Source organism: Homo sapiens, chromosome 10 (genome assembly GCF_000001405.40).
Source record: "Homo sapiens chromosome 10, GRCh38.p14 Primary Assembly".
Classification (NCBI taxonomy): domain Eukaryota; kingdom Metazoa; phylum Chordata; class Mammalia; order Primates; family Hominidae; genus Homo; species Homo sapiens.
The window spans coordinates 61,738,812-61,762,608 of NC_000010.11; the positions used below are offsets into that span (position 1 = coordinate 61,738,812).

The 23,797-nt window shown below is 36.2% G+C and overlaps 1 protein-coding gene across 5 annotated transcripts in view; it reads left to right on the forward strand.

The window, feature by feature from the left end:
• Window positions 1-23,797, forward strand: part of CABCOCO1 (ciliary associated calcium binding coiled-coil 1) — a 103,838-nt gene that overhangs the window by 75,883 nt on the left and 4,158 nt on the right. For all 5 annotated transcript variants that reach the window (NM_001366908.2, NM_173554.3, NM_001366906.2 and 2 more), the window contains 2 exons: window positions 21,248-21,370; window positions 22,052-22,192. In NM_001366908.2, the coding sequence (NP_001353837.1) occupies window positions 21,248-21,370; window positions 22,052-22,192 (264 nt within the window). The remainder of the gene's footprint in view (window positions 1-21,247; window positions 21,371-22,051; window positions 22,193-23,797) is intronic.

The window sequence follows — 23,797 nt, forward strand, 5'->3', positions numbered from 1 at the left end:
CACTAATAGTAAATTTTGGTCTATAAAAAAACAAAGACACTCATAATTTAGAGACTATTACATGGAGGCTGTTTATAAACCAGCTCTTGCTCTCTTAAGCAGAACAGTTTGAATTTGGCAGCATTTGTTGTTTATATGCAAATGGACATTGCTAATTACAAGTGAGTTTTTTTTTTCTTAAGTCATTTAGGTATATCCAGAATCTCAACTTGTAACCTTTTATTAGCACTGTCAGTTACTATACCAGTCTTTTTTAATAGGGATCTGCAAGAGAACTACATTCTACGGAAAACGATTAAATGACTATTTTCTGAATTTTCTCAAGGATAGTTGCATAGCTAGTAAGATTCTAGATGCATTGGAGAGAAATTAACTCATTACAAAAGTGGATGCCTCGGCCATGAGGGATAAATTCTCTAGGAATCTTGCTCGAGAGGTTGAGAATTGCTACCACTTGAAAGTGAAGTTTTATTTAGAAATATTCTATAATTCAGACTGCTCTCAAATTTAGACTAGCTTTCCACCAAATTCATCCAAATTGAAAGTATTTACTAGATATGGAAGTAGCTTTAATTCTTCAGAAATTTGAGTTCATTTTTTAAATTCTATCTTTGGTAAAAGTTCTCATGTAAATGTTATAAACAGCAATTTAGATTGCAAGTTTTAAGCATGAGACTGGTATGATAACAGCAGTATTTTGAGCAAAGTAACTTGGCAATGTTATAACAACATTTTGAAATGAAAAGTGATTAGGGACAGAGAGATTAATTGGAAAATTAGGAAATTGCTAAGTTTTTTTTTTTAATGCTAGCATATAGCAACGGTAATGGAAAGGAATGGACTTATGTAAAAAATATTGGCTGGGTGCAGTGGCTCATGCCTGTAATCCCAGCACTTTGGGAGGCTGAGGCACGAGGTCAGGAGATCGAGACCATCCTTGCTAACACAGTGAAACCCTGTCTCTACTAAAAATACGAAAATTTAGCCAGGCATGGTGGCACGTGCCTGTAGTCCCAGCTACACGGGAGGCTGAGGCAGGAGAATCGCTTGAACCCAGAAGGCGGAGGCTGCAGTGAGCAGAGATCGCACCACTGCGCTCCAGCCTGGGCGACAGAGCGAGACTCCGTCTCAAAAAAAAAATTATAAAGGAAATTTAACATAGAAGTTGGTAACTACTTGGATATAAACGACTTGAGAAGCTAAGACAAACCAAAATTTGCACACATTTGAACAAGAGGATCTAAAAGAGAAGTTGTGCCATTAGTATAATTCGAAGCCAATTTTTCATAATAATAATGAGATGTGAATATAAGTTTAGTTTTAAATACATTAAGTTTAATGTGATATTGGAATGACAAAATATAAACTTCCAACAAACAGATAGGACTGGATATGTACATTAGAAAGGTCATTACCTCAACTGGGAGAGGGAACTCTTGTATAATAATCTATCGCCATCTTTGTATAGATACAGCTTCTCGTACCATCCACTGTGACATCATGATAGAAAGATGCCAGATCCTGTCTGTGTGTCCTTTGTGGGCAGGCTCTGGACATGTGTGAGTAATGGAGGAGGAGAAACCAGGTTTGAAATGTATGGAGCTAGCAGCAAGCCTACGGGATATTCATCTAAACATCAGCTGTGTAGAAAGCTATTCAAGTCTTGCCATGATTTAAGTGACATTTTAAGAACTCTAAAATATATTTTTGAAGACTTGGAATAAAAACCAAAGTGCAAATGAAATGCAAACATTTTATTCAGTAAATTTTGAATATACCATTTTAACTGCAATTTGGGCAGACTTCTGGAATGTTTTAGTTCAACAAGTGAGAAATTACAACTTCTGATTTGGGATTATATGCAGGGTACCTTCTTTTGTCATCTTTAAATTGACTTATTTACTGAGAACTGAGAAAAAAATTAAAATATAGTGGAATATGAAACGAACAATATAAATGAGCAATGAAATCAATAGAAATTAATTTAACATCAAGAAGTAAATCATAACTCCCCAAAATTGAGGTCATAACTAAAGTAGGAATCCAATAAGAGGGCCGGGTGCAGTGGCTCATGCCTGTAATCCCAACACTTTGGGAGGCTGAGGTGGGAGGATCATTTGAGGTCAGCAGTTCGAGACCAGCCTGACCAACATGGTGAAACCCCATCTCTACTAAAAATACAAAAATTAGCTGAGTGTGGTGTGCACATGTAATCCCAGCTACTCGGGAGGCTGAGGCAAGAGAATCGCTTGAACCCAGGAGGCAGAGGTTGCAGTGAGCCAAGATCGCACCATTGCACTCCAGCCTGGATGACAAGAGTGAGACTCTATCTCAAAGAAAAAAAATAAAATAATAAAATAAAAATAAATAAATAAATTTTAAAATCCAATAAAAGGAAGAAATACATTTTAAATGGAAGCAATGAATAAGTTTCTGCATTGCTTATTATTAATTGCTAACCCAATTAATAGAAGTGAATCATATGACAACATTAAAAATAGATTTAAGCTTCTTGCATTTTTACAAAAAAATAACTAATATTGATGAAGGTAGCATAAATTGTATAATATGCCTTTCCAAGGAGGGCATCAACACAACTTGGTGAATGAGTGCCACCTATTTAAGGAGTAAAGAGTATTTTAAATTGTTTCCTGCATAAAATAACCTGAAAAGAAGCTTAAATCTTTTAGCTAATGTATGAAGAAAACTTGCTAAATGTTTTCTGAAATTGGACATTAATGCTAAAATCTATATGATGTTACCAATAATAAGTTGTGAGGCTGAAGCTTTCCTAAACTATTAATAATTTAAAAACATATCCGTTAACCAAGCTAGAAAAAAGACTGACTAATTTTTCTATTTTTTCTACGGAAAATAATATTCTAATGTTGTTGTACCTGAAGGGCTGATTAGAATATGAAGCCCAAAAAAGTAGGGTTAAGTGTATTGTTGAGATAGGTTAAGCACTTAATTTTTAAATTTAATTTTTAATTTTGTGCTATTTTTGGAATTTGTCAGCTTTTTAATAAAAGTAATTTGTTGTTCTTTTATTATTCTGTATACCCACATTTGTGAATTCTATGGATTCACTTCTGTACCTAATTTTATGTACTGATTTAGCTTCAGGCTTCACAAAATCTTCTCTGGCTGCTGTTTGTACATGGTTCTTACCAAATGTGGGGAAGCAGGGAGACCAGGTAGAAGGTAATGGCTGTGGTCTGAGTCACATGGAACAGGATAGTGGCGTGGAAGGTAGAGAGAAGTCGATTTCAGTTTTATTTCAGAATATATATGACAGGACTTGCTGAAAAATTGGGTGCAAAGAGTGAGCGAAAGGGAGGAATTAAGAATGCCTTCCAGGATTCAGTTTGAGTAGCTGCAAGACTCGGGGGGAGACAGGGCTGAGTGAAGAAAAAAAGCTTCTTTGCCGGGGACATTAAGCTTGTCATGTTTTCTCCATGCTGCCTATTGTATTGTACTTTATAGTGCCACCCACATTAGACTATAAACTCAAAGAGGGCAAGAACTGACTGCTTTTTACTCTCATGACATAAGATTTCTATTCAATTGAATTTAACATGTGTTGCACGAACTATATGCAAGATGCTCCACCAGAAACTAGATTCAAATCCTTTGACTCAAACTCAAACTACAAAGAAAAAAAAAGGCAAGTGGATAAGAGCCCAGATTTGGAATGAGATAGACCAGACTTAGCACCTTAGTTCTGTCACCTGCTAATTGTGGGGCCTTGGAACAGTAACATCACCTCTCAGAGCTTCTTGTTCCTCGTCTAAAAATGAGAATGATTATCCCTGTCTTATAGGATTATCACAAAGTAAAAATAAAACAATGTGTGCAAAATGCTTATTACAGTGCCCAGCATACATTAGCACTCAATAAATGGTAGGATGTACTTGCATTTGGTTTTCCTGCCAATACAGACAATATCTATAGCACAGACATCACAAAATCAGTGTACTAGAAAATGTTGAGAGAGAAGTTATTTTTTTCAGCATAAGAACATATCTTAAATAATTTCAGGAGAAGATAATAGGTTTCTGTACTCTTCTAGTCCTGAAAAGGAGGGGGACTAAAAGGCACTGTGAGCAAAAATAGAATGAATTTACCCAATTCTTTACTGCACTATTTAACCTCTGCTTTCTTAATCATATGCACAGCAGGGGAAAGGATGTGCTAAAACAATTCATGTGTCATGAACAAAGCAGCCGCAGATTTTAGCTCAAAAATCACACTAGGAAAACCACCAGTTGCAAGTAAAGTAATAAGGCCAAATTTATTTTTTTCATTGAGTCTTGAGTTACAAGCAACCCTTTAATTACATTAATCAAGCAGGCTTCCTCTCAACAAATGAAGGGAAATATATTGTCCTAACTTTTGCTAAACTTGTTTTTTAAGTTGCTGGATATTACTTGGACATATGGAAAATAAATCCCTTGATTTCTTTTTTATATTTTTCTCCATCTTTCAATGTAGCCATAGCAAAAGACAAACATATACTTACTTCTAGACATGACTTACTCTGTGAAAGATTGTAAATCACATTTTAAATTTAAAACATTTACATTTCAATATTTAAAACATTAGCACTCGACTAAATTTCACTTTAATTTCCCTTTCCATTTTTCTAATTTTTTGCATTTTTATATATGTTTCTAAGAAAATTGACTCTACCAATTGGTTTACTATCAATCAGCCGGTCATTTGTCCCATTTAATGGATGGAAAACCCAAGGCTTGTAGGAGATTAGATGATTTTCCCAGAGGTCTTGTAGTTACAAAATACCAAAGCTGGGGCTGAACCCAGGCCTGTTTGACCCTAGCTTTTCACCAGTGTCACACACATCTTTTGTTCTAGAATGTTCTCCGTATGTATCTGTTCATTTGTATATGCCACTTCCTCTGTCTGTCTGTCTATCTGGTATTTTCCCTCCCTATCCAACCCCATCTGCATGCTAACTCCTATTTCTCCTTTGAGATTCAACTCAAGCACCATCTCTCTTTTTAAGCTTTCTCTGAATCCCTTCTTCTCTTCCCTCCCACCAAAAATCAATTGGCAATCCTTCTTCTATATTTCTAGAACACTCTACATATACTTCTAATAATTGTTTCATTCTTCAAATTATGTTATTCCTACCAAGTGCCCCCACCACCCACACAATAGACTGAGACCTCCTCAAAAGTCAGAGCCTTTGTGTTGTTTGTCTCTGAATCTCCATGACCTAGTACCGTACTTGGCTTGGAGTGCATGTTCAGTGAAGGTGAAAATGATAATATAAATGAGAGTTTATAAAATATAAAGTTCCTTGTTTTCTGAAAAAATATGAAAGCTTTAAGTAATTGCTAAGAGTTTAACTTAACTTTTGACGATACACAGGATTTATAGAAGAGGGCAGGAGGAATGTTAAAATCTAAAACAAGTGATTGGAAATAAATCCTGAATTGAATTGAAATTTCCAAAGTATAACATTATTACAGGAAATGTAAATAACCTTAATTTATATTTCTATCATTGCAGTCATATTTTGAGAATGCAGTGAAATTGTTCATATTTTATAGTGAGGGCTCTAAACGTGTACATTAAACATTTTGTGTTTCCTGGCTTTTAAAAATGATTACTACCCTGTAATTTACACTTTGTTTAAGCAAATGAACAAACATAGCATCATTTTAATCAGGGTCATCAAGCAGCTCAGCAGCAACCCATTTGACCTAATATATCATTAAACTTGTTTGAGCCAGGTGGTAGTTCTCAAATAACCACATACAATCTCAGTTTGTGATGAAATAAAACTAGTCTTCCAGTACATGGCACACCTATGTTGGCTGGCATATCAGCCCTCCTCACACTAGGAGGTGCTAGAGAGTCAGACCTATTGTCCTCAAAAGGAGAGAACATCAGCCCTGGTACTTATTGCCCTACTGTATCATAAATCAGCTTAGGCGCTACCTAAGAAAAATGGCAAACACCATAGAGGTCTAAGTAAGAGAATTAAGTTAAATAACACCAGCAATTCAATAAAATTAAAATAAAATATGGCAAACACTTTGCAAGCAAGGTGAAATGTATGAGTTCGTTTCCAAATGTGCGCTATATTCTGCAGCCCTATATTTCCATTTGCTACTTTTTCCTTGAATTAATGTCTAGTCTTTTGAAAGGATAGCAGCATTTCAGTGCTATTCCTCTGTGTATACAGTCAGTAATGTTTGTCAAGAGCTTTGGAAGGAAAGGACTACATAAATGTCAGTAGTTATTAATACTGGGATTTTTATATCTAGCTATCAAATGTGTTTTTCATAGTCTATGACCAGAGGTCTATTTGTATCCATCTAACTATAAATGTTTTAAGTAAAAATAACCACTGACCAACAACAGTATTTCTTCTGTTCTTCTTTATAATCAAAGTAATATTTATCAGAAGTTAGCAATTACGCTCAAATTCTTCCAGAGCCAAGTTTATTTTGACATGTTTTTATATTCCAGGTCACTTAATACCACTTATTCCTCTGGCTTTGGGTAACTATTATGAGGCTAGTTGACAAGGTTGACAAGGTCCACTTACAAACCCCACTATGGCCTCCCTGTCCTTGCTCTTCTCTTTGTCTGGCCTATCCCTAACAGGTACATTGTTTTGTTGTCAGCTAAAATCAGGGACTCACCCAACAGTTCTCTACCCCTATGGCCCAACTGTAGCCGTTTTTATGTAGTGTTACAAATGAATTGTGCAGGCATTTGTATCCCTGCCTTCTTACTCCACCTTCAGACTGTAACTCTTTTGAGGCAGAAATCCTGCCTATGCCATGTTTTGCACATGGAACGCACACAGATCAGTTGAATTGAACCAAAATCTGAATCTTACGCAAAACACAAGAGACTCTTCTTTTAAACGTGTGATGTGCTGCAGCATAAAGCTTACTGGCAGAGGGTCACAGCATATCCAGCAAGATGGCTTTTCACTTTTTTCTCAAATGTATTTCAACTCCATTTTCTTTGAAAGACCCACAGTGTTCTTTAAAAAGGAGGAGATGTAACAGTTGGGTTGACCTACAACTGGTTCTCTGAGACTAGAGTTCAAATCTTAGTTTGAATTAAAAACCAAGATGGATTTGAAGGACTCTTACCACAAAGCCTATCTGCTAATGCATTTTTTTAAGGATCACACCAATTACCATGTTTGTCATGTACTCATAAGAACCAGAATAGGTCAACATATATTGGCTGAGTTACACAAAGGAGTCTACAAAATATAGGCCTATGCTCTTTCTGGCTCTGGCCAGCAACCTTAGCCCTTCACTTTTATATGCACTAAATTTTACTCTAGTTTTAATAATAATCACAATAAATATATTAATAAAATCATGTTTATATAAGAGGTTCATCTTGTTTAAAATGCACTGAGAATCATGGTGCTTTATAGGACACAATTTATGCTCTCCTTGGTAATTTAAAGGTGATAACTTCATGTGATTCATTGCCACCTAGTTCTGAACTTTAATAATATAATGACTCATTATGATTTTTACATTTCTTAGAGAACCAGCTTGGTAAAAAACTTCGCAGTTGTTTTTACTGGGGTCATCTGAACTATGGTTCCCAGAATGTTTATGAAAAAAACATGCTTATATATTCTGAATGGCTGTAATCTATCATGGCTGGTGCTTGGTCTGCAGATTATGAGTGTACAGTGTCAACCCAGTGAATTAAAGCTTTGTTGTATATCAGCTTGCTACACAATTATTTCCAGTTCATATCATATAAATCATCACTCTTCACACGACAATCAGTAATTTCCATCTTGTGTTCTAAGCATCCATGTTTTGTCTTAATGGCTCTGTCTGATTCTGCACCTAGAATGGTGTGACAGGACTGGTACTAATAGCTTAGAAAATAAATTTCACTGTCACTAGAGCCTATTTAAGGAATATTCTATGTTCTCACTGTTTTTTGTAAAGCTGTTTTGTATATGTTGGAATAATAGGAAATGAATTTAAATAGAAACACTTCTCATGTCTTATCTCTGCAAACAAAAAAAAACCATAATTTACAATAAATTAGCACAGCAGTTGTTAGTGTAGCTCAGCTTTATTTTGCAATTCTCACACCTAAGCTCACAAGATGACACTTTTTCTGATAAGGTAATCTTTATAAGGTAGTTCTGTAGGTGATTAAATCTGACAGATGCTAGTAAGATGGTGAAGTTCAGATATATAACAGCAAACACTTTAAAAAAATCTTGTTAAAATAATAAAATGTCTTATGATCTACCAATAGAAAAATCGATCTGACAAAAGAATAAATTAGTTATAATGTTGTATTTCTGTGTCTAAAACCAAAATGAAATTATTCACCAATAAGTAGATAAATATACCAATTATAACAAAATACACTGCAAGGAAACTGGTATTTTTTAGATAAAGAATTGGTGTGGTAATATTACCTTCCCAGTCATTTCATAGCATTTACACAGCATTGTTGAGCAGAATGAGAATAAAAAGCTTCTAACACAAACAGAAGCTGAAGAAATAGAATGTGTCATTTCATAACATTTTGATAGTCTATCTGTTCTTCAAAACATACCTTGCATACCAGATCTTTCAAAGTTACAACCTTCATCTTTTCCTGGGGCAATGACGATAATCATTTGGTTGGTATTTCCAATGATACTAGCAATCTGAAATATGTTAAGGCTTAATTGTAGATTGTATAATTAGATTAAGCCAATTAATGCTGTGGCTTGGTTTTGCAATGTTCCTTTATTATTTGAATGCTTTTAGCCCTGGTTTCTTGTTTCTAGCAGAATTTCCCAACAGTAGCTCATTGTCCTTGCTTGGTTTTGATTACTTAAACAATGTTAGCTTTGCCAGAGTCGATTGATACTTCGATCTGCTGAAGTGATATGTTGCAGAATGTGCTGTTTTCTGATTTTCTTATCTAAATATTAGTTGCCTAATGTACAGAGTTAATTTATAAATACTGGGAAGTTCCCTGAATCAAGTAAATTAACATACTGGGCCAGATTCACCAGCTTCCTTAGCAAACCCTCACATCAAGGCTGTCTTCATGCAAGTGTGAAAACCAGAACGACCCTTCAAAAGTTTTCCTGGCCAGAATAACTCTCTCATCAGATAATAGGCTATACTCATCCTAATATTCCAGTTTTATCACCACAATCAATTCATTCTACATAACTTCACCTAGCATGGACACTTTTTGGAAGACCATTAGCATAGGATGAATATGGAAAAGCCAAGGAGCAGGACTGGACACCCAGATGAGGAGCAGCCTGATGTATAGGTTGTATTGGGGAGGTGAAGAGCAGGGAGATACGGGGGAAAAAAAAAACCCTAAAATTTGGCACTATTAATTAAGAGACTATATAACAGGGGAAAATAGCAATAGATAGTGACTTACTGACCATATAAAACTACAATTATTTCCTACATTTAATTCTTTAGTAAATATTTATTATTTTCCCACTATTTCTTAGCTACCTGCCAGGCAGTGAAGTTGGGAACAAAACAGACCAAGTCCTTACCCTCAGAGAGTTTTGTTTAGCATTGTTGTAGACATAAATATGTCACATGGAAATTTAAAAAACAAAAAGCCTCACACTTTTAAGCTTTTTCTACATGCCAGGCACTGTGTGAGTACCTTCCACATACTGATTTAGTCCTCTGAAGAAAACACGCAGTGGGTGACCACTGTTATGGCCGTTTTCTAGACAAGGAAACTGTGACCCTTGCTGCAGAACTGTGAATGAATGTGAATCCTCAGAGAGCTGCAGTTATGCCTTTGACTAGTGACAATGACAGTGTTTTGACCTAGCAGATGATACAGCTTTTTTGGTGTTAGAGTTTTAAAATAGTATTTGTGCAGTAAGATCGCATTCTCTGTTTCCCACTCAAAAAAATAAATTATTCAAACCACGAAAATAGGTGCCTAAAATCCACAGGGCAGAAGCAGCACTCTAGGCCCTGTGGGACCACTGTTGAGAAAAAGCCAATGCACCCCTGGGCCTCTGTTAGAAGAGTAACTTGGTACAGCTGTATAATTCCTTTTATGAAATGGATGGGTCTGATCAGGAATCAGAGCCTCGGGATGGACAATGAGACTCATCCACAACAGAACTAATATCTTATTCACCCAGGTTTGACTTTAAAATTATATCAGCCATGAAAATTATTTCACTGCCTTCTGTGGTGAACAATCGGGCTATATTTAATTTTAATCATTAATATGTAAAAATAATAAAAGCCACCAAAATAGTCTATAGTCAATTTTCTGATAAAAGTAAATTTATTTTTTCCCCATTTGTGATTTAAATGGCCTCCAGAAAGTTTTTTGCAAGTAAGTGTTAATTAAAAATATGGAAATGGATTTAAAGCACATTACAGTGCACAGTGGAAGAATAATCACAGGAGCTTTGGTCACACGACCATCCTCATTCCTCTATGTATTTTTTAACTGTCTAGGTTATTGGTTGTTTTTCTGCATGCCTGTTCCTAGAGAAAACTGTGATTCCAATGAAAACAGTGGCCAAAAGCAAACTGATGCCCCTACGCTTTCCTGTTTACACAAATGAAATAAGCGTGTTCTCAGATTTCTTTATGCACGCAATGCTTTTTATATCTTGCCATCTTTAAAAACTATTCAACCTTTCATTCTTGACTTTCATTGACTTATTTTGGAACAATGCACTGTAGTTAGTGCCAACACTATGTAGAGCCAGTGAACAAATTCTCTTTCTGAATTTATCAGAGAATGCCTGCTTTCACAACTCTAGTATACACATGTCATTTTACTTTTCTGAACCTGTATTTCCTCACATATAAACTAGAGATAAACATTTTTTGGAATCCATAATGAACTACTAGGGTTCCCCTTCCCCCTAAAGTTAGGTGCGTGGGTTTCAGAGTCAGATAGATCCGGGTTCTATTTCTGATAGAATTCTCCATTTTCTAGTTGTGGGGCATTGGCTGAGTTATTTAACCTCTTTAAGCTTTTGGCTCTTTCTCAAAACATGAAGTCAATAAAACCTTTCCTCCCAATGCAGTATGATTTGAAGGACCTACTATTTATAACGTGCTTTCTAACTAGCCCAATGCCAAACACAGAGTAAGTTCTCAATAAATGAGAGCTGCTTTTTTTTTTTTTCATCATCACAGTTTATATTCCCAAATGGTGGCCAGCACTGACCTTAGGGCCTCCCCATTGAACAACTCCAGTGGGTACCTTTCACATTGTATTGTGAGTGGGGGACCAGAGGAGGCTCACGGAAAGCAATGTGAATCATGGCCCCTAGAGTCAGGCAACTTATCAGCCCTCCTAGAAATTTGCTTCATGATGTTACTTTCATTAGGAGCTAGGTGAGGGGTATGGTATCTCTGAGGAACTCTTTATGGCTTTAAACTACACTGTGTCTAAAAAACAGTTTAATGATAAGTCAGTTAAAAATAACTACTGGGCCAGGGGTGCAGTGGCTCATGCCTGTCATCCCAGCACTTTGGAGGCCGAGGCAGGTGGATCACCTGAGGTCAGGAGTTCAAGACCAGCCTGGCCAACATGGTGAAGCACTGTCTCTACTAAAAATACAAAAATTAGCCTAGCGTGGTGGCGGGTACCTGTAATCCCAGCTACTTGGGAGGCTGAGGCAGGAGAATTGCTTGAACCTGGGAGGCGGAGTTTGCAGTGAGCCGAGATCGTGCCACTGGACTCCAGCCTGGGCAACAGAGCAAGACTGTGTCTCCAAAAACTAATAGTAACTATCAATGAAGTCAAATCAGTGAGAATCTGTCTGGTTGTTTGGCATTCTGCTAATCAAACAAATACTCTAGGGCTCCATTGATATGAAATACAGATAGTTGCACTGATGCAACAATACAATGACTAGGTTTGCTTCTCCAAGTGTTACCGTTTTTCAAGAAAAATATTTAAACTGACTTGTAGCTGGTCTAACAAACTAGGCAGCCCTGAAGATTTTTAGATGAATGGATAGATACTCTGATGAAATACTCAACATCCAATGAATGCCCCCCGTGTATAAAGGCCTGAGCTAGGGGTCCTTAAGATGAATATGACGTGCCCCACGTCCTCGAGTTGTTTCCACACAATGGCGAGAAATCACTCTACCTGGCTGTCACTCAAGGCCAATGTGACAAATACTATGAAGTTGAATAAGCAAGATACTCTGCGAGCACAAGGGCGATGACGAGAAACTTCACAGAGTTGATTGAGCTGGGTGGAAAGTCCAGGTGGATGAGATGGCCTGGCAGGATGCAGGGAAAAGCTCCCCCAGCAGAGGGAGCAGCACAGGCAATACAGGGCTGAGACCACAGCTTCCTCCACCCCTTGCTTTGCTTCGCTCTGCTTTGCTTTGCCTTGCTCTTTTTTTTTTTTTTTTTTTTTTTCATATAACAATTATGGAGCACCCACTCTGCTGCAAGCACTGGGCAAGCAGGGAAAGAGTGAGTGGTCTAGTACAGCTGGAGCTCGAGATCTGTGAAGGCAAGAACATGGAGTTGAATCCTTCAAAAAATAGAAGGGCACAGGTGGGACAGGCATCAGCAGGTGCCCCCAATGAGTTTTATGGCTGACTTAATGTTAGGGACAAGGGAGAGGGAATAACTGAAGACAGCTGCAAGGCTTTGAGTCCAGTAACTGAGAAGCTGGTGATGCCACCAAACGATAAAGGAATTGGAGGAGGAGCAGGTTTGGGGAAGGTAATTAAGGAAAAATAAATGGACAAGCTTCAGCCTGTCAATGATTCCAGTAAGCACTAAATGTGTACTCCAAATATTCTTCTACATCGTGACTGAAAAATACTGAATCTGGGGATCTACACAGGCAAGCAACTTTGAGTTTTGTATAAATAGAGAAAAAGCCACTTGAAATTTAGTAACATAAGATACAACATCTGTAGCTGGACTAGAGACGACCTAGTCCAACTCCCTAATTTTACAAACAAAGAAACCACATCTCAGACCTACTCTCAACTGAGCAGCAGAGCCAATCCAGAACTCTGACTACACATTTAAGGGGAAAAAAATCTACATTTTTAGAACATTCAAATCTGGAATCAAGATACCACCTAGATTTTTCAGAGCTGCTGCTATTTCAGTTTGTTTATTTTTAACTAAACTAGTATGATTCGCAGACTGTAGGTGAAAGGTCTCTTTTGAGAACATGTATTGCTATGTACACCGTTGTCCACAAAATCAGTTTTGTAGTTAATTTCTAAGATTTCAGATTTCAAGAAAAGCCAGGGAAACTTAGAGTACCTAGACCCATTCTGTATAAGGGAAGACATGCTTCTTTAGGTCATTGAAATAATGACATCTGCCATATATGGAATAAAAGGCTGCCTTGCCTAGGAGGAAGGGCTTGGGTGCTCACTGAAAGTGTCCTGTTTCTAGAATGCCAAGCACATATGACTAATTGGCAGTAGTTTCCTCCAAAGCAAGAAAATCCTGCCTGCTGACCAGAGAAAAGTGCCTAATACGGTTAAAGAATCACTAAGTGAGACTTTTTTATAAAAAAGGAAAAAAAAAAAAGGGTAGGGGCTAGGGAGAGCTAAGCAGAGAGGGAAATATTTATAACTGTAACAACATGTTTCCTGGTAATAATTTATGAGCCTACTGGAGAAAAGGGAAACACACAAACTATGAATAAAATATCTAAACGTAAACATCATGCTTTCTGCAAATTTCTTTAGTTAAAAATTAAGGCTGAGGTTGACTAAAGTAAATGACTGCATTTTCGTGGTCTCTTATTTCCTTGATGCTAAGGGTTACCAACTGATTTACAACTTCCTGTGTTGTTTTTTAAATCTATATTTGTCAGCACATTTTTAATGTCAGATTACTTAAAATAGACATCTTGGCTCTAAGAGGTCAGAAATAATAATATTAGGTTGACTTCTCTAAAGATTTCATAGCACTTTACAAGTATTCTAATTTAGCACCAAAGCTTTTTATTTCTAAACGAATATGGTTTTAAGAAGCTTAGCCCCCACTTTCAGTTGTGGACTTCGGGACTGAAGTGCAGTTCAATCAGTATGCTTTGAAGTTAAGTAAATTACATGATAGCTTTATCTAAATAGTTTCAGCCTCCTCCTATTCAGGTAGTTTCAACTGTCAACAGGAAGTGCATGAAAAAAGAAAGACTCGAACCAAGGACCTAGAGTTCTTCCATTGTAGTTTCTTTCTGTTCTAACCATTATAATTTATTATCTCATATGATTTCTGCAAATTATCGGTACTTATTCAAAAAGAGTATTCTCTAATATGAGAGTCATGAAATAGCTTCATCTTCATATAAGCTGTCATAATATGTAATGAAAATGCAATGTCCATAAAATAAAATTTTTAAATATTAAACACCTCAATTTTAAATAGAACGCTCTAGAAGAAACTAACCAAAAATCTATGATTAGAATTGTTTGAAATATTTTATACTGAGTTCAAGGGTATGCCTTGAACCTAGTAAGCTAAACAAATATACTCTGAGTGGCTTGTAAAAAATATTTTGAAAAGCATTCAATTTTTTTAACTATTTATAATGGAACCATACTTTTCCATCTCTCACCCTGAGGAAGTTGCAAGGTAAGGTCAATCTAAGAATCAAAAGTACAATGCTGAATTTAGTAGTTGAAGAGCTCCGGTATTTCATTTTCACAAGAGAGACGTGTTGAAAGTTTGCCCTGTAAGCCCTGACTCTTTACTTTTGACAAAATTTGTTAAGGGAATCTTTTAAAAATGAATGTAATCAGGGCAACCACAGGCCATATTTGAAACTGGAAAACAAAAGATAAAGAGAGTGATAAATTGGGTGGGGGAAGGGGAGAGGCAGATTTTCTAATTGGAAAGTTAGGTGTAAACACTCTCCTTTTCTAAATAGGTGGCTTGCCCTAATCCTGATCATGCTACATATCTACCTCATTATGTCATTCTATCTAGGTCTCAAAAGAGAAGTTGTTTGGGACCAAGGAACTCTTCAAATAACGTGGTATTGAATATATGTTTGATACTTTAAAGACTGTCACTATATGGAAACAGAGTGATAGCATGTCCTCATTAACAAATTCTTCCCAGTTAATTGGGCTGCTTGAGCAGTGTTAACAATTACATATAAAAATAGCATGGACCAGCATCCTCAATATGGCTATTCTAGTCTGTCTTTCAATGATGGCATTAGAAAGATGATCCTTTCAATAATAACAGTAATTATAAGTAATAATAGTAATACACCTTGAGGTTTAATAATACTTTCCCTTTGAAGAACTCCCAGCATTTTCATCCACATTATCTAGTTTGTGCTTGAAACAATTCGATGAAGTAGCCAGGTAGCAATTATCATTATCCTCCTTTTACAGATAAATAAACTGAGGCCTAGGGATTTTCTTAGCATCCCACAGTTAGGAATAGAGCCAAGTCTAAAGCCTATAATTCAGTGATCTATCTTCCAGATTATTGCATCTTTAGAAAATATCTGGGTATCTGAAGGACTGCTCTATCCCTCAGGAAATGTTTGCACCACGGCCAGATCAAAACATCTTTTCCTTTTAAATTGCATTTACACTACAAGAAGGTGCTCCTTTTCTGATTCATTAGAGAGGATTTTATTGTCTGAGGTCATTAAAATAGGAATACTCAGATTTCTTTCCAAATTGTAGTATTGGCCTTAAGCAGGAGTACACTTAAAAAGTCAAAAGATATCTAAAATACTCTGGAATCAGTTACTTTAATCATCTAACTTTTTAAAAAATGATTATTTGAAGCCCAAGCGAAACAAGATCAAATCAAGAGATAAATAAAAATGGGCACAAGGTGTTAACTGGAGTGTCCTAGCCAGATTGCAAATTGGTTTACTGTGGCCTGCCAACTTAAATTTCTCCTTGCAGCTTCAGCTGGAATGGGTAATCTTCATTTCCTGTCCTAACTTGTTGTACTGTGTTACCGTTCACTGTTTAGGTGATTAGCATGTGTGGATCTAATGGTCTCGAAGCTCTATTAAGTTATAAATGTTCAAACTACCAGTATGCTGTGGATAAAAATAGAACTTGCTATTAGATGTCTATTCATACTCTGCAGAAGCCTGGCAACATTTTGAACCTTTTCAAAATGTAAATACTGCATATTAAGCATAGGAAAGAAAATTAATGTGCTGCATTTGCAAATTTATTTCCAAGTCAAAAATGCAAAGGAGGAGGAGGACTCTTGTTAGCAGAATTGATATTCTACATTTACAGAGTATATTAAGAAGTTTGTAATGGCCCTATCACAAAAGAAAAATACTTTAAAAATGGATTAATTAGTTTCTCTGATAATGTTGGCTTTTGAATTTCCTCTTTTCATTTAAAATTTATGGCCTCAGTATGACATTACTAGAGTTTATTGCATTTTGCAGGTGGCATTCATATGTTGCTACTTTATGTGCCATATATTGTGGGCAATGGGTTGCAAGTTTTTGTTAAAAATTTCCAGAGCCACACAAGTACTTCTTAATTAGACTTGCAAATGAGTAATGCCTTTCTTCAAGGGGGGGAAAATAGTTAAAACATTACAGGAATTTCTGTGCCTTTTTTCCCTTAGTTAATAGTCAGGAAAGTTTGCAATCAAGTTTACTTCTTGAAACTTTGACATTTTATACTAAGTTCTGATTTACATATGAAGTCATCATCTGACAATTCCAAACAAATGTCTTTACAAAGCAAACCGGTATTTTGTCTATGTGCCTATGGCTCAAAAAAGCTTGAGCAGATTTATCTTGCTTTCTGCTGTTCAAAATAGTGGAAAGTTGTAATCTCAACTGCATATTTAATATCTCAAAAAATGTAATAATAGATTTTAATAATTTAATAATTATCCCCTTAGTCATAGATTTTAGTGGCACAAACACTACACACAAATCACTATACTTTCTCCAAACAAGCATTACTAAAGTAAAACAATACATCAGAGCTCATACTATTGATAATGTTAACACGGAAAATAGAAAAAAGAAAGCATAAAGTGATAAAATTTTCAGATAAAATCTTTATACCACTTCTCAGACATAGTAAGATCTAGAAGCAGAGTCTAATTCCTATAAGCATGTTTTTAGATCCAAACTGACTCTGTACTTTGTTCCAAGAGAGTTCAAAATTCTTAGTGTTTATTCCCATGGCGGATGTCCATTTCATCTTGAATATGCAAATTTTTAAAAGATTTCTTACGATTTTATTTGCCATGTAAATAACGACCTTGATTTTTTAAGATACATAACGTTTGGCAATGAAATTTCATACTGACGAGTATTAAATTATGCCAAAAAGCCATTTACTTGATATTCTTCAAATACCATAGCACAATTCAACTTAAAGCACAATTCAACTTTAAATACCGTAGCACAAGTCAAGTAAAGATGTAAACCATCTTAAATAACACTAATGCAATGTGCACGTAATGAACAATATAACTAACTTAATTTTCATGTAACAGATAACATCTGGGGGAAATGTATATTGGCAAGTTATGCAAAACTAATTTTCTAGCAACCACATCTGTAGATGTTATTTATTGTATGTTCACTTAACAGTCCATTATTCTGTTTAGAAATCTATTCTCTTCTTTATTAGAGCTTTTAATGTACTCACCTTAGTTCAAATGGTCTGCTCATTATCAGAAAAAATATAAATGGCATTCACATGGAACAACATGATTGTTTTTATTATATCCATTTGTGTTCAAGCATTCAAAAATGGCAAGAGAAACACATTTATTGCTTTACATTCAAAGTACTATTTAGGGGGTATTTGAAAGTCAAGCAAAACCAATCATTTGGCAAAATGGATGTATGTGTATAATCAGAAACTCCTGATTTTTAATCTCAGCATTAGGCCTCAGGCAACTCACCTAAAGGCCTTCCCTTTGTTTCCTGATCTGAAGATTATGGGTGCTATTCTCATATAGAAGAAGGGAGGTTGCTAAATCAGGGTACCAAATAGGAGTGTTTTTTTAATAAACATTCTTGATCCTTTTCTGTTTTTATTTTTCCAGATTTAAGAGGTAACATATTAGACTTTTGAGGAAAAAAAAATGAGACAATTACAATTCTACAGGAATGTATAAAAATAGTTATAAAACTAGCTTTATTTAATTTGTTTCAACTATTCATAGACTTGAGGAAATTATAACGTTCTTTCAGAAAATCTAACTTAATAAAGCTGACCATGTCTCTCTGTTTTTAAATAGATTTTATTACAGAACCAGTGATGTTGTAAAACATGAGGTTTTGTTAAAAAAAAAAATACAAAGGCCTAATTGTATTTTTTAAAGAAACTATTGCATCAGACGGTTTCATTTAAACGTATTTTCTGGCTCTGGGCTCTCACCACAATTATTGATTCTAATTTTCCTTAAACTTGCTTTTTAAAAAGGCTACCATTTTTAATGTGAAAAAAATCACTGTGATGCTTCTGGGCATTATGTTTATTTCAAACCATATATTTGATAATGTACTTTATTATTATTAATGAAAAGACTTTATATTTACCCTCATCTGAAATTGGGACATTTCTTTCCCTTGCAGTATCTCACTAACACAGCTAAGTGTAATTCTTCATAAAGGAGAAAAACTGAGCTAGGGTTTGGTTCACTAATAGTATGCAAAACACCCTGAAGAAAAGAAATTCTCACCCCCCAGTTTTTGTGCACCAATTAAATCAAATTAATAGTTATATGGGCTACACTCATAAAAATCAAGGCAAAGAAAAGCTCAACTCTCAGTCAGAACTTCAGGTTCTTGGGAGTTTCACTCCACCAAAGAAATGATGATGTGGAAGCTGGGAAGTTCCAAGTTTCCAAGTGTGTGCCCAGTACACACACACACACAGACACACACACACACACACACACACAGTGCCAAAGACCAGGAAACTGGGTAGTTGGTGAGTCATTCAGATGAGCCTTATAAAGAAATCCAGAGGACAGGGATGTGAGGGAAAGAAATGAGAGAATTGGACACAAATACCTGCTTACATTTAAGTGTATAATGTGATGGGGAAATGGGTACAAGTAGAAAAGGGCCAGTGGTAGAATCTGCTACTACCAGGCTAGAGAGGCAACCTATTGAGAACTTCCACAGGGGGTGAGGGCAAGTGAGCAGGAAGGCCTAGCCTGTGTATGGCCAAGCTTAGCAACAAGACAAATATGGTGACAGTAGACCAGAAAAAATTCTACTGCATTAAAAACAACACTTTTACCTTGCAGATTATCTCAGTGCCTGCAGTAAATTCAGTAGACTCCATTCAATTCCTTTCTCTCTTCTTTTCAACGTCTCACTCATCCCCACCACCCCCACTCCAAACTTCCTGTTCCTTGGTGTATATTAAAGTCTATACCACTAAGTAAATACCTCATCATCTTCCCTTGTCTCTGATTCCCATGTGCAGCTTATTTATTTTACCTATAATGTTTCAGAGGCCGCTAAAATATGTTTAGCTGTCTCCTTTTCCTAGCTTGGTAAAATAAAGAGCAATAGAAGGTAAAGGAAGGATGAAAAACAAGAGTGCTGAAAAAAGGTACAAATCATTTCGTGGGAAGGTGAAATTCTTGTTTGCCCCATTTAGGAAAAATGCAATGGCTCGTGGAAGTGCATAAGAGAAAAGAACTGTTCTGATATGTTTTCTCAATATTCTATTTTGATTAACATTTAGTTGACTTAAGATAAACAATCTGGAATGATGTCACCTAACAGAATAAAAATTAAGTGCTTGATAATAGCAATAATTTCCAAATATGGCAACTTAATGACGTATTACAGTTTACTGAAAACCACAAAGGACAAGAAGTCAGCACACCAGGGTTTAATTCCCAGCCCTGTCAAGAAGTAATTATTTGACCTTAGGCCAATCATTTAACCTCTTGGTTTCCAAATCTTTTTGCCTATAAAGTTAGGACACGTTGGGGCTTCTATATATTTACACTAAGCAACAACTTTGTATAAAATCAAGTTAAAATTAATAATATTAATTCAATGCAAAACACATAAGCATTTGTAAGACCAAAAACAAACCTTAGCTTCCAGCGCATTTCAAAACTTATCTAAATCAAAAACATTAATATTTAAATGATGACATGTAACATATTTATTTGAAATATTGTAGAGACATTAAAAATGAATGCATTATTATTTCATTGGGTTTTTTTTCAGGCTTCACAGGATGATAATTATTTCGTGAATTTATGCATTTTCAAAATTTTGTCTTCAAACTTATGTTTGAAGCTCTAATCTCAGGGCCTGACTTTGTCAGCATACTGTGGGTGGCTTCATCCCTGGGCCACAATAACAAGCTCCTATAAAGCAAAACAATTTACCAGTTTACAATGAGGCATGTAGTAGGCATGAAAACGAGAACCCTCAAGTGGGCACGTCTCTACAGATCAATTGGGATGGGAATTGAAATTAAAATCAAATGTTGCTTATTAAACATGGAATTAGAACAACTAATTAAATGAATCAAATGTTTAATGTTATTAATACCCTCATCTCCCCTTTCCCTCCCCCAAGTCAGAGTGAGATGAGCACTGCCAAAGTTGGCTTCCTTGACTCTCCTTTTCCTTCATTTCCAGTGTTAACCAACCGTCAGCCTCCTTCTGAGTGGCACGCTGTTGCTAAAGAATTGTTAAATACTCATAGTGAAGTCTTGCCTTGCCCTGTGTGTTTTTGACAAATCTCCTTCCTGATCTACTGGCTTCATATATTAATCTTTGCAGCCCTTATTGTCTTCATCACCAAGTTCTTGATGGCCACTTCAGCAGCTACATTCTGCTGAGTAATAGCAGTCCCCATCAGGATGACATTAAGTGTATTAAACACCTAATCCTCTGCCAGAACTAGAGAAGATACACAGAGCATCTAAAACTTGGTTCTCCACCTACAGAGGGCTTGTAGTCAGGAGAAGGGGGATACTGAAGCACAAAACAGTTAAGAACGAGGAGATACTACATGAAATCCTAAACCACAGAGTATCGAAAGGAAATGAGACAGTGGGAAAACAAAGTGTTAATTTTGAGAAATGGAGCTCAAAAAGCACTAGAGGACAAAAAGGGCAATGGCATCAAAAATTCAAAGGAGGTGGCACTTGAAAGATAACAGACTTGGAACTATGGTACATATATAACGGAACTGACCGAAACTGTGGTTGCTCACCAAAGGCTCTGTCATAATTCAACTTTTTTCTTCCCATCAGCAAGTGATAGAGGTTGTCAAGTCTGCATGTGGCCCTTTCCCAAATCCTCTGGAAGAAGGAATCTCATTTGATATTTATTCAACATTCATAGAGCCCCCCACAATATTGGATACGGAAATGAAGGTATATTTCTTTTTGTCTTTCCATTCACCCTACCTCATCATTATATTCTCTTGGGGTGGGAGGAAACGAACTAAATGTTTTCTTCATTTTCTTTGCCTCTGATTTTTCCCAACCAAATACAAATATTTCTCTAAGTGTTGATTCAAAGATGAGTCCGCTGATGGTAGTTCAGCAATTTTAATCTTTTCCACCCTACCCTTCCTAATCTCCACCTTCACTTTCCCCTGGGCACCACATTGGTACCATGAGTTGATCTGTCATAACCCTCATGAACAGGAATATAAATACAGAGTAACATCATATCAAAATCTCCCCCCAGATTGACATTGTTTCTGCTAGAAAAGTATCCAATAGAAATTTGAGGTTCCAATGAGAACACATGGACACAGGGAGGAGAACAACACACATCTGGGCCATTTGGAGGGTGGGCAAGGAAGGGAAGGGAGAACATCAGGACAAATAGCTAATGCATGCGGGCCTTAAAACCTAGATGACAGGTTGATAGGTGCAGAAAACCACCATGGCACACGTATACCTATGTAACAAACCTACACACTTTGCACTTGTATCCTGGAACTTAAAGTAAAATAAAATATATTTAAAACAAGAAGTTTTAGGTTCCATATAAATCACCGAATGCTCTAGAAATCACCCGAGTGCTATTTACTTTCAATATTCTAGAGGTTGGATCAAGAACAAGGCCCTGAGGAGTCTCAGCCAGAAACTGACACCTCAGACATGGATCCTTTAGTTGGTTTTACCATTGAAGATGTAAAATCAGTGCTGGATCAAGTCACAGATGACATTTTAATCGGCATTCAGGTACTCAGTATTGATAGTATGCTCACTTACTTTATTACTGGTTAATTAGCCAACCTTAACTTTAATGTCTATAAACACTCCCCACACTGCCAGCATGAGCGATGCTTATGACGAAGTTCAATTTAACAGCTTCACATAATTCTCAGTTGAGTCATCAGAGATTCAGTAAGATCACAAAATAGATTTTCCAACAGCATCTAGTGTGGTGCATGTTATCAGTTAAAAAAATCAACAACAAAACCCAAAAAATAACATGGTAAAGGCTTCATATCTTGTCAAACTGTAAATGTTGCTTATGCAAAAGGAATTGGAATGCATTTCTGAATGGTAAACACTGAAGATCAAACCTTAATCCTCAGCTAAGTCTTCTCACCAAATTTCTAACAGGCTTTCAGATCTTTGAACTGCCTCTCAGACAGTTTGTTCCTTTTGACCTATCAGTAATGGCTAAGCAGTTTACACCAATAATTACATGAACATGGTGATGGCAGCAGCCGTATGAATAGCAGCTGCCAATGATTTATTAACTGGCTTAGGTTTATGCTTAATTCTTTCTCATCTCATTCTGTTCAAAAAACAAACAGCCATTTCTACCTCAACTCAAAGACTTACAGGAATTCACATAATTTTTCAGGCCAAATGATTAAATAAGTAAAATGTATATTTTGAGTACATTTGCAATTTATTTAGAAATGGCTATAAATCAGGAGGGCAACCTAGTGCATATTTAAAATATTAATGCATCTCAGGAGAAGATTTAGTTGTCATCTGAACATGAGACCATATATTAAAAGCCCACTGTATTAACAACTAATTTAAAAAGAGCAAAAGATTAGCTTGGCATAAGCATACCTTGTTACTTGTTTAATCATCAAATGTTATTGCACTATTTACACGAACATTTAATGATTTGGTGCCAACAGACTCAGCCAAAGTCCTCAGCTTAATAAGGGGTGTTTAGTGTTTACCAGAAATAGTGGAAGAACACGTTTTACACAAAGCTTTATTGTTAACAACTCCATGAATGTAATAACTGGTTATTGTGTAGAAGGGCAGAGAGCAGTTGAATTAAGCTGAGTTCAGAACATATCTCCTTTTTAGATCTGATAACATTTCATCTAAATATAGTTTATGTATAATCATGGCTCTGGGCTCCTTTGCAATCCTACAGCTCTGAAATTATTGCCGAGGAACTACCAGACAGTAACTGAATTGTTTGCAGGCCCAAAAAATTGAAAACGTCTTTACCAAAGCTGTGTTCCATGCAGTGAACAGTATGTTTTAACTATTCATTGAAATTATTTTAAATATTACAGTCTGCAGCATTTATACCCCTATTCTATATGATAGCTATGTGTCTGTATGTTATCTTCCCATTGGCCTGAAGCCATCCTGGAAGTTCAATAGCTTGCTCACCTAAATGTAATTAGGCATGGAGAGGATGTGGACCAGAGGACAGGGATGCAGAACCGCTAGGTGCCACAATCATTTCCATAGTAAGTGGATTTGTAGACATCAGCCTGGGCCAAATTACTGCCAATTTTTCAATGAAATAGCATGATGATGTGGATTTATACAATGGCTCAAGATGGCAAACCCCTTTAT